General features: G+C 35.1%; 1 annotated feature.

Annotated features, from left to right (window-relative positions):
- Nucleotides 202–703: an enhancer, noted in NCBI's record as "NANOG hESC enhancer chr2:78557243-78557744 (GRCh37/hg19 assembly coordinates)". NCBI's record gives its function as "activates a minimal SCP1, AML or CMV promoter by ChIP-STARR-seq in primed H9 embryonic stem cells {active_cell/tissue: H9 hESC(primed)}" and the evidence as "EXISTENCE:reporter gene assay evidence [ECO:0000049][PMID:30033119]".

Raw genomic sequence — 12,889 nt, 5'->3', positions numbered from 1 at the left:
ATGTTTGGATATTTACGTCTTTTGGAAACAATGATTATCTTTATGGTTTAATTAACTTATGGTCAGAACAATACTAGTTTTATGATACAGATATTTTTATTTTAGATACATAGTAAATGTAGCATCACAAATCACAAATTTTCTCAAGAGAAAATAAAAATTGCATTCAGTCTTATTAAACTTTGTGTGCATTGTGCCATAAAAGAAGAAAAATGTGTTGTTGAGTCTTTCTGGACTGTATTAGTAAATCAGGTTTGGGCTTTGTTTTATTTTAAGACTCAGTACATGGTATCCTGTGTGCATGCTGCCATGGATTACCCACATATTTTGCTAAACATTATTTCTGGGTGTGCCTGTGAGGATGTATATGAATGAAATTAGCATTTGAATCAGTAGGTTCTGTAAAGAAGATTGACCACCCATCAAAGTGGGTGGACATTATTCAATTCATTATGGCCTAAATAGAAGGACAAAGGAAGGAATAATTTACCCCTTCTCCCTGACTGCAGCAGCTGGAACATAAATCTTCTCCTGCCCTCAATCTGAGACTCTCACTATTGATTCTCCTAGTTCTCAGGCCTGTTGATCTACATTATTGGTTTTTTTGAATCTCCATTTGCAGATGGCAGATCATTAGATTTCTCAGCCTCCATAGACATGTGAGTGAATTCTCCATAATTAAATATATTACACACACACACACATATGGACACATATATATTTAGTATGTATTATTATATTAGTATACATATATTAAATATAATCTTCTATTGGTTCTGTTTCTCTACTGAAGCCTAATAGCACACTGTCTTAATATTTAATGTGTTTTTATCACAAAAAAATGTTACTACACATAAAGCATTGGCAAAGTATTTTTGTTTCAGCCTTGGAATTACAATAATATAATTTGTAGGATTGCAATAATATCACATACACATTGTTATTTTCCTTTTGGTAGATCTTTATCTCAGTTGTTTTTTGTTATACAAAACTCATAATTGTGCTTTTTAATAAGCAAAATATTTATTTGAGAAGATATAAATTACTTTAAGACATTATTATACTGCCCTTGATGCTACAGCTGATAGTTTAATAAACCATCCCAGAGTCTCTGCCCTCATTCAGCCTTAGAAGTCTAGAGTAAATAAAAGAGTATCCCTATACTTTGTTGAAAAATCTCTCTGAGCTGGCTCCGGCTGGCAATTTTTTCTCAACTTTTCCTCTATCCCAACAAACAACCTCTGTCCATCTTATTCCTGACTCATTCTCTAAAACTAGGCCTGTCTGTAGAACAAACCATGGGAGAGAATCTACAATACCAACTTATTAATTAATAATGAAAAATAAAATGTCAACTGTACCAAAATGCTTGACTTGGAAGAACTGCTGCATGAAGTTAATTGTAATGTGAGGCTCAGTGTATTACTTTACTGTGAGGAAGAACATTTTTAAAGCACACAGCCACATTCTTTGAGTAGATCATTCCCTCCTTGTGGGCATAGTATTTGGAAGGCAAAATTATAATCAAATTTGTATAATCATAATTTCATAAGTAGTGCATGGTATATGATTTGATTTTTAAGTGACATCTCATAAAAGGAAAATGATGTTTAAATCACACAGTCTACATGAAGTCTATTTGGACATTATCTTTGAATTCCTGCACTCATTTCCCTGGACAGTGCTGGAACAGCATTACTATTCTTTGTCTCTTTAGGTTTCCCCTATATAAAAAATATAAGAGATTGTGTATAATCAGCATTGAGTTGGTATATAAAGAAAAAAAATGACATATCAGTAATATAGAAAAATGAAGTGAACAGAGGATGTATAAGGAATACAGCACTAAAGTAAGAGTATCATGAATTGGTAGGCCATGAGTTCAGGGGTAGTATAAAAAAGATATTACATTAAACTCTTAAAAGAAAGTGGGTTATATATTTTGTAGCTGTCTTCTCAGAAGAGTAATTGCAAATTTATGACTTCCATGATGATGAAGTAGTTTTAGAAGTTAAAAGGACTTGGTGGTAATGCTGAATAAATGCACTCTGCACAGGCACAACTGCCCACTACATCCATTTCTCACATCAAACAACACTGTAGAACTATAAGTTGGATCCAGAGGCATTGGGTCCATCTGAGACTCAAGCCAGTCTAAATTTAATCAGACCCTACAACCAGCCAGAGTCAGCTTTCAAACAGGTAGAACTACTACTCCAAGTATTTTGTTGTAAGGTCACAGATAATCACAGATGGCAAACATGTGGGCTCATCAAAAGAATAAGGAATTTGGGAAAATGTTGCCTCTATAGGCAGTCATCAATACTGCCTTAATTTTTGCATCATACAAAGCTACAAACATAGTTACAGAAAAATATCCAATGAAACATTAAAAACAGCTTCTCTCTGAAAGGCCTGCTAATAAATGTATATATCTCAACAAGAGAAAAAAGGGAATAGACCAACTCTCACTTATTCATTCCACCATTGACATATCTAAGACCTCTTGAACGACCTCAATTATGCCAGACATAGTAAAGGATACTTACTAACAAGTGATTATCAAGTAATTGACTTCATATTTTATCTTCTGTTTGGTGGACTCAGAATATCTATAGTTAATTAAATTAGAAAGCAATATCTGATTCCACAGTACATAGGTGATATCCAGGATGAATAAGTAGAAAAAAAAAATCCCATGCTATTTTGGTTACTGTAGCCTTGTAGTATAGTTTGAAGTCAGGTAGCGTGATGCTGGTACCAAAACAGATATATAGACCAATGGAACAGAACAGAGCCCTCAGAAATAATGCCGCATATCTACAACTATCTGATCTTTGACAAACCTGACAAAAGCAAGAAATGGGGAAAGGATTCCCTATTTAATAAATGGTGCTGGGAAAACTGGCTAGCCATATGTAGAAAGCTGAAACTGGATCCCTTCCTTACACCTTATACAAAATTTAATTCAAGATGGATTAAAGATTTACACGTTAGACCTAAAACCATAAAAACCCTAGAAGAAAACCTAGGCATTACCATTCAGGACATAGGCATGGGCAAGGACTTCATGTCTAAAACACCAAAAGCAATGGCAACAAAAGCCAAAATTGACAAATGGGATCTAATTAAACTAAAGAGCTTCTGCACAGCAAAAGAAACTACCATCAGAGTGAACAGGCAACCTACAAAATGGGAGAAAATTTTTGCAATCTACTCATCTGACAAAGTGCTAATATCCAGAATCTACAGAGAACTCGAACAAATTTACAAGAAAAAAACAACCCCATCAAAAAGTGGGCAAAGGATATGAACAGACACTTCTCAAAAGAAGACATTTATGCAGCCAAAAAACACATGAAAAAATGCTCATCATCACTGGCCATCAGAGAAATGCAAATCAAAACTACAATGAGATACCATCTCACACCAGTTAGAATGGTGATCATTAAAAAGTCAGGAAACAACAGGTGCTGGAGAGGATGTGGAGAAATAGGAACACTTTTACACTGTTGGTGGGACTGGAAACTAGTTCAACCATTGTGGAAGTCAGTGTGGCGATTCCTCAGGGATCTAGAACTAGAAATACCATTTGACCCAGCCATCCCATTACTGGGTATATACCCAAAGGATTATAAATCATACTGCTATAAAGACACATGCACACGTATGTTTACTGCGGCAGTATTCACAATAGCAAAGACTTGGAACCAAGCCAAATGTCCAACAATGATAGACTGGATTAAGAAAATGTGGCACATATACACCATGGAATACTATGCAGCCATAAAAAAGATGAGTTCATGTCCTTTATAGGGACATGGATGAAACTGGAAACCATCATTCTGAGCAAACTATCGCAAGGAGAAAAAACCAAACACCACATGTTCTCACTCATAGGTGGGAATTGAACAATGAGAACACATGGACACAGGAAGGGGAACATCACACACCGGGGACTGTTGTGGGGTGGGGGGAGAGGGGAGGGAAAGCATTAGGAGATACACCTAATGCTAAATGACGAGTTAATGGGTGCAGCACACCAACATGGCACATGTATACATATGTAACAAACCTGCACATTGTGCACATTTATCCTAAAACTTAAAGTATAATAATAATAAAATTTAAAAAAAAGAAAAAAAATCCCTCATATATTTACTTTATTTTAAAGTGATGGCTTTCACAATAAAAGAGATTCAGAGAGATGTGCTGATATTATTTTAGATATATTTCATCTTATATATGACTAGTACAGTGCTTGTTGCAGAAAGTTCACATTAGACTTGATGTATACAATTGAGTCATTAAATTTCAGCAGGAATATCCCACATATTTGTGTGTTTGGAAAAGATAAAGGAGGTATTTCTTCTGTACAGTGGTAGTCTGGCTAATGCAATTTGATGTTTTTATCAGTTATTCATAGCAGAGTTTCTATTGGGGTACAAAGATGGGAGTATGGGACAGGATTTAAGTTCTTATTTTTCAGCTTTGATTAGTCCTAAAAAGAGTAATTGTACTGCAGGATGAGGATGAATGCCATTCTCCGGTCCTTTATCCAGGTTGGTTAGGTAGATGGGCTTAATCCTATAATCCATACCTTAAATATCATTAGAAGAAAACACATATCTCTCTTCAAACACACTAGTCCTGCTGATTGTTGCCACGTGGAAGGCAACTGCTTAGAATATAGTCTTTTCCTATGTTTTATTAATGATTGATGCTAATAAGGCTAATCTGACTTGTAAGAATAATTGAGGTCAATATGTTCAGACTAGAGAGTGGAAGACTTACCGTTAAATACAAATGAAATTATAATCATCTCTATCTGAACAATAAGCACAGAGAAAGTCAGGAACACTCAAGTTAACTGTAGTCTAAATAATTATAAAAATTGAAAGACAAAATGCTTGGGTTACAATGTCTACCTACTTGACATTTCATGGTAGACTGAGCAGAGGATAAAAATATTATAGCATAAAATAACCTACATATCTCAATTCTTACTAAACATAATTAAAATTTCTTTATAATTTAATTGCCTGCCATCATGGTACATACAGAAGAAATAAACACATTTCTTAGTAAAATATCACTTGAACCTCTTTTTTCAGTAGATTCACATTCAGGAAAACACTTGGTAAATAAAGTACTGTAGAAAGAATAAAAATATAATTAATTTTTAAGTATATGTACATCATTGTAAAATAATACCCAAAGAAAGGCAATGAAAGCAATTTATCTGATTATAAATACACATCATAGAATCAATAAGGGCATGAGACTTCACTCATTTATTTTTTCTTTCAAAATATTTTGTTGGACACTTCAATATACTGAATATTGTCCCCAGCACAATGTAGGCAACAATGACTTTTATGTAATAAGTATGAACAAATATAGGTGATGATGTATTAAACCCGTGTACTTACAGCTTTTAAAGAATTTCTTTTTTATTAGAATAACGTGTATCAATAAAATTAGTAAGCCAAAGAGTAGAAACATATTTACTGTTAAATTTGACATCAGACCTGGCACAGTGGGTGCAAGCCAATAATCCCAGAACTTTGGGAGGCCAAGGCAAACAGACTACTTGAGCTTAGAAGTTTGTGGCCAACCTGGGAAACATAGTGGAACCCCCTATCACTACAAGAAATATATATATACAAAAACAAAAAATTGGCCTGAAAAGGTGATGTGTGCCTGAGTCCCACCTACTCAGGAGGTGGAGGTGGAAGGATCCTTAAGCCCAGGAGGCTGAAGTTACAGTGAGCTGAGATTGTTCCACTGCACTCTAGCCTCCAGCCTGGGCAACAGAGTGACACTGTGTCTAAAAAAAGAAAAAAAAATTAACATCAAAGGTACTTTTGACAAATAAATTTAAAAAAATGAGAGTATTGTCTGCCACATATTTTTAAATATACCCAGTTTGTGTATAAAATTAAAAACAGCTTTGCTAAGCACTATGTTGACGATGACGAAGAGTCACATGCCTTCGTCTGTGGACATGGCAGCTCTATTGTGGCTTTTTCTTCCTAGGCCTCTGTACTCTGTCCCGTGTCTCCCTACTCTGCATCCAGTGAGGTAAAAGCTCCCTTTGGAAGGGAAGTTACTACTGAGAAGTCACAGCCTCAATCAAAACGACAGAGCAGTTACATTCAATAATGCTCTGTTGGAAGCTGGATGCCCTGCTGGAAGAGTCCAGCTGTCAGCCAAAGGCCTGAATTTGAAATTAATTGAGACTGCAAAGAAAATTACCTTAGGGAGACTTCAGGGATAAAGGAGTTTGAAGGAAGAAAATGTAGACTACTTAGTCTCTAACTTGGACAAGCTAATAGTATCCTGAGGTGTAATTTGCTACGGCATAGATTCTCATCCAAAATGAAGCAATAGCCTAAATACTTTGAATATATTATACTGATCTATTTCCTCACAGAACCAACAGAGTAAAATGCCAAAAAAAAAAAAAACAAACATGATATGAACAGGCTCTCATAAGTCCACAGCTTCTGACATGAGAAAAATAAAAACAATAACACAGGAAGTACGTTGAACATCAAAGTTACTATTAGCTTCCAATCTGACCATTTCAGCATCACTCATTCAAAGGGAGCTGATGATTTGAAAGAAAAATATAGTTTCATTGTTTGTATTTTTAATTGAGATATAATTGACAAAATAAACTCCACCTATTTAAAATATATTTTTTGATAAGTTTTCATGTAGGTAGCCCTGTGAAAACATCACAACCATCAACATAGTGAACAGATCCTTCACCTGCAAAAGTTTCCTTTTGCATCTCACTGCTTCTCCATGCCTCCCTCTATCCTCATTCTCAGGCAACTGTGATGGTTAATACTGTCAACTTGATTGGATTAAAGGATACAAAGTATTGATCCTGGGTACATCTGTGAGGGTGTTGCCAAAGGAGATTAACATTTGAGTCAATGAGATGGGAAAGGCAGACCCACCCTTAATCTGGGTGGGCACCATCTAATCAGCTGCCAGCAAATATAAAGCAGGCAGAAAAACGTGAAAGGAGAGACTGGCCTATGCTCCCATCCTACATCTTTCTCGAATGCTGGATGCCTCCTGCCTTCGAACATCGGATTCCAAGTTCTTCAGTTTTGGAACTCAGACTGGCTCTCCTTGCTCTTCAGCCTGCAGACAGCCTATTGTGGGACCCTGTGATCGGATGAGTTAATATTTAATACACTCCTTTAAATAAATAAATAAATATCTATTTTATATATATATATATATATATATATATATATATATATATATATATATATATTCATTCCATTAGTTCTGTCCCTTTAGAGAACCTAATACAGCAACTATTGATCTAATTGTTGTCCTTATGGATTGGTTTGCATTTATATAATTTTATATAAAAGCAACAAAAGAGAATGCCTCTTTTTTTGTCTAACTTCTTTCATATAGCCTTATCATTTTGAGCTGATGATGAGAAGCATTCCACTGTAATGGTTATACCACAGTTTGTTCATCCATTCACCTGGTGAACACTTGGGTTATTTTGAGTTTTGGGTTAGAACAAAGTTGGATAGAAATATGTGTACAAGTATTTGTATCAAATGTGTGTGTGTGTGTTTCAATACATCCTCAGGACTAGAATGGTTGGATCATATGGTGAGTGTTTAACTTTATAAGAGGCTGCCAAAATGCTTTTCGAAGTAGTTGACCCATTTTACATTCCCACTTGAAGTGCATGAAAGGTCCAGTTTTTCCCTTTCCTTGTCAATACTCAGTATGTTTAGTATTTTTAATCTTAGCCATTCTAATAGGTGTGTAGTAGTATATAACTATGGATTTAATTTCCATTTCCCTAATGACTAATGATGCTGAGTATTTTGTCATGTGCTTATATATCATCTGAATACCTTCTTTGGTAAATATCCTATTCAGAATATTTGCCATTATTTTGTATTAAGTTGTTTACTTATTAAGTTTTGAGAATTCTTTACATTTACGGGATATATTTCTTGAAAATATTTTCTGCTATTTTGTGGCTTGTCTTTTCATCTTAATTTTATTTTATTTATTTATTTATTTTTTTAATTAGAGTCTTGCTCTGTTGCCAAGCTGGAGTGTAATGGCACGATCTCGGCTCACTGCAACTTCCTCCTCCTGAGTTCAAGTGATTCTTCTGCCTCAGCCTCCTGAGTAGCTGGGATTACAAGAGTGTGCCATCATGCCCGGCTAATTTTTTGTATTTTAGTATAGATGGGGTTTCACCATGTTGGCCAGGATGGTCTCAATCTCTTGACCTCGTGATCTGCCCGCCTCGGCCTCCCAAAATGCCGGGATTACAGGCGTGGGACACAGCGCCCGGCTACATCTTCTTAATTCTTAATGGTACCTTTTGATGAAGTCACATTTGTTCTTTTATGGATTGTGTTTTTGACCTGCCCTGAGAAATCTCAAATATGTGATCACAATTTTCTCCTGTGCTTTCTTCTAGAAGTTGTACAGCTTCAGGTTTCATTTTTAGGTATAATCCAGTGAGATATAATATTTTCAAATGGCATAAGGTCCAGGTCAAAGTTTACTTATTATTATGATTATTAATGTTACTTTTATTGTATTTTGCCTGTGCTATTCAATTGTTCCTGTACTATTTGCTGAAAAGTCTATAGTTTCCCCAACAAATTTCTTTGGTTCTTTGTGAAAAGTCAAGTTATCCACATATGCGGCTCTGTATCTAGATTTTCTATTCTGTCCCATTAGTCTGTTTGTCTATCTTTATGGCAATGCCCTAGTATCTTGATTACTGTAACTTTATAATAATGATAAAACTCAGGTAATATTAGCCCTGAAAATTTGTCCTATTTTTAAAATTTTACTTTAAGTTCTGGGATACAAGTGCGGAACGTGCAGGTTTGTTACATGAGTATACATATGCCATAGTTTACTGCACCTATCAACCCATCATCAAGGTTTTAAGATCCACATGCATTAGTTATTTGTCCTAATGTTTTCCCTCCCCTCATCTCCCAACCCTCGACTGTGTGTGTTGTTCCCTACCCTGTGTCCATGTGTTCTCATTGTTCAAATCCTACTTATGAGTGAGAATATGCGGTGTTTGGTTTTCTGTTCCTGTGTTTACTGAGGATGATGGCTTCCAGCTTCATCCATGTCCCAGCAAAGGACATGATTTCATTCCTTTTTATGGCTGCATAGTATTCCATGGTGTATATATACCACATTTTTGTTATCCAGTCTATCATTGATGGGCATTTGGGTTGATTCCATGTCTTTGATATTGTAAATAGTGCTGCAATAAATATATGCGTGCATGTGTCTTTATAGTAGAATGATTTATATTCCTTTGGGTGTATACCCAGTAATGAGATTGCTGGGTCAAATAGTATTTCTCATTCTAGATCCTTGAGGAATCACCATACTGTCTTCCACAGTGGTTGAACTGATTTACATTCCCACCAACAGTGTAAAAGCATTCCTGTTTCCCCACAGCTTCGCCAGCATTTGTTGTTTCTTGACTTTTTAATAATTGCCGTTCTGACTGGCCTGAGATGGTATCTCACTGTGGTTCTGATTTGCATTTCTCTAATGATCAGTGATGCTGAGCTTTTTTTCATATGTTTGTTGGCACATAAATGTCTTTTGAGAAGTGTCTATTCATATCTTTTGCCCACTTTGCGTTGGGGATGTTTTTTTCTTGTAAATTTGTTTAAGTTTCTTGTAGACTCTGGATATTAGCACTTTGTCAGTTGGGTAGATTGCAAAAGTTTTATCCCATTCTGTAGGTTTCCTGTTCACTCTGATGATAGTTTCTTTTACTGTGCAGAAGCTCTTTGGTTAAATTTGATCCCAATTGTCAATTTGGCTTTTGTTGCCATTGCTTTTGGCAATGTAGTCATGAAGTCTTTGCCCATGCCTATGTCCTGAATGGTATTGCCTAGGTTTACATATGTTGTGTTTTCATCTTTGCTCACTTCAAAAATATATTTTAAATTTTCCTTCTAAAATCTGTTTTTGATTCATGAGTTATTCGGTATTTTTTATTTTGTTTCCAAATATTTAGTAATTTTTTATAGGTCTTTCTGTTTTGGGGGGTTAATTTATTCATTGTGAACAGAGCATATACTGTGTATGGCTTTACTCATTTAAAACTTGTTGAGACTTATTTTATGATCTATTTTTGACAGTGTTCCATGTGCACGTAAAAATAGCTTGTATTCTGTTAATGTTGGGTTGAAATGTCTACGTGTCAATTAGATAAAATTGAATGATAATTTCTTTCTATGTATCTACTGACTTTGTGTCTACTTCTCTGTTATTGAAAGTTGTACTGAAATCTCCAACTATAGTTGTAAATTAGTCTAGTTTGCTCTTACAGTTCTATCAGTTATTGCTTTGTGTGGTTTGAAGCTCTGTTATTAGAAGCATAAATATTTAGAATTGTTATGTCCACTTGATGTATTAACCCCATTCAAGATTATAAAATGGCCTTCTTTACTGTATTGATATTCTTTGTTCTGAAAACTTGTCTGTGATTAATATAGCCACTAAAGCTTCCCTCCTCTCCCCCCAGCTCTCCTTCTAACGCCCATTTGTTATCTCACAGTTGCTTAGGTGAGGAACCTTGGTAGGCTCAACTGGGGTCTCTGCTTAGGCTTTCAAAGGCTAAAATCAAGATGTTCGCATGCATGGGATGTCATCTGGAACATGATGAAAATAATAAGCTTCTAATCTCATTCAGGTGTTTGGAAGAGTCCAGTTTCTTATGGTTTTAGGACTAAAGTCCTCATGTCTTTGCTAGCTTTTGTCTGGGGGTTGTTCTCTGCTTGTAGAGACAACTCTCCTATTCTTGCACTTGGCCCTTTTCATGAACAAGCCAGAAACAGTGTATCAAAGCCAATAATACCTAGTCCATCTCATACTTTGAATCTCCTTTACTTCCCTTCTTGCAACCAGCCAGAGAAAACACTGCTTTTAAAGAGCTATGTGAATAGATTAGCATCCTCTTCAGTCTTCCTTTTAATTCAGTCCTTTTGAGGATTGAATGATACGTCATAATAATTAATATTATAAAAATTACCTTTGCACCAACCTAAAGTAATTAATATTAATATTGTACCGAATATTAAGTTAAAGTCAACTAGAGACATTAATTAAATATTTGATATCCTTTTACCGACAAACATAACAGAATCAGGATGTGATATTTTATCACATTCATATTCTCAAAAATTTAGGTAAGAATTAAGGGAGGGGCATTTAGCAGTCGGCCAATCATATTCCCTTAGACTTCAACATTTTTTTCTCCTAAATATCACCCACTGAAGCCATGGTAATGTTCAAAACAAAGCTTATTCCCGTATTTATTGGCTCTGCTCTTATCAACATACACGTTAAAAATTTAGTAATTTTTAGCTCTTTTTTCTCCTGTAATTGCTGTCCATCTATTTAGCTATATCTATACACTACTGTCTAGTCTGCCTCATTTTAATGCATTCTCTTTATCATTAGTTTTCTATCATACTTGGTGTTTTGTATGTCTGGCTTATTGTATGTATAGTTTATAATTTTCATCAAATTTGACATTTTAGACCTTATATTTTTCAAAGTTTCTATCATTTTTTAGTGGGTTTCAATCGATTATTTTTTCTCTCTTTACATGGGTGATATTGTTCTGCTTATTTGCATGCTTGTTTATTTTACTTATCTTCATTTTACAGATGAGAAAAACTGAGGTTCACAAAGGTCAAGTAACTTTCCCAAGATTAAACAGCCTATAAGTAGAGTAGAGCTGGGAGCCAAACCCAGGAATATCTGAGTGTGTATTCCGATATGTAAGGGCATGCCCTTACCTACTATGTTATTCTCCCTCCTAAAGGCACATGGTAGTGAAACACAGCTACTACTAGAGTCTTAGTAGGGCAAAGAGCTAGTGGAGAGAATTAATCCTGTAACTTCCTGATTTTACCTTTGTTATAATCAGAACTCTGTCATTCTCCTTGCAGAATCCAACCAGCAGCCAGACGACAAGGGAGCCAGGGTACTTCAATTTGCAAAGTCAGTCTTTCAGCACAAAGCAGTGTAGAGGAGAATAAAATAAATAAATAAATAAATAGAACTAGAAGGTAGGTCAAAGATAATCAGCAATGTATATTGCTAAATATAACAAATTGGATGCAATTAAAAATAATAATAGTATTTATTTTAGACAGCCAAATCCCTCCTCTACATTAAATATTGAGTGAAATCTCAGCATAGAAAATACATAAACATGAGGCTTCTCTCACTGATGGCAGGGAAGCATCAGAGGGGTCCATCACCTTTGGCTCTTCAGCACTCTCATGGTGGACTCTGGGGCATAGTCACTCCCCCGACGACCTTTGTTAAACACAGCTGAAACACATAGTAAGAAAAGAAACTTTAGTTTCAGATGCAAATTACTGACCACATGCCCTTGTTTAAGTTTTGCATTACCTTAACCATACATAGTTTATGTATTAATAAAGCAGGGATAATGGTATTTTGTTTGAGGAATTTTGAGGGCTGATTTTTTTTGTTTTATTTTTATGTGGAGGCTTAAACAGAAAGGTCATTAACAAAGCATTTATTATTTCATTTACCTGCCACGGATTTAATTGTTTTTTCTTTGATGACAGGTCATTAAACAATGGTATCAGTTTGTTATGGAAACTTAAAATTTTGATTACACATTTGGCATTTAACTGGAGTGATTTTGCCCTATTTACTGTTAGTAGTAGCAGAATTAAGAACTACTAAATTATATTAAATTTTGTATAAAAGCTTTACTGATTTGGGATGGAGTCTTATAAAATATGCACAAGCAGCTGAAGTAAAGGAAACTAGCATTAGAAACAAAGCAAAA

Source organism: Homo sapiens, chromosome 2 (genome assembly GCF_000001405.40).
Source record: "Homo sapiens chromosome 2, GRCh38.p14 Primary Assembly".
Lineage (NCBI taxonomy): Eukaryota > Metazoa > Chordata > Mammalia > Primates > Hominidae > Homo > Homo sapiens.
The sequence above is the reverse complement of the archived record's forward strand: the minus strand, read 5'-3'. Positions and strand labels throughout refer to the sequence as shown.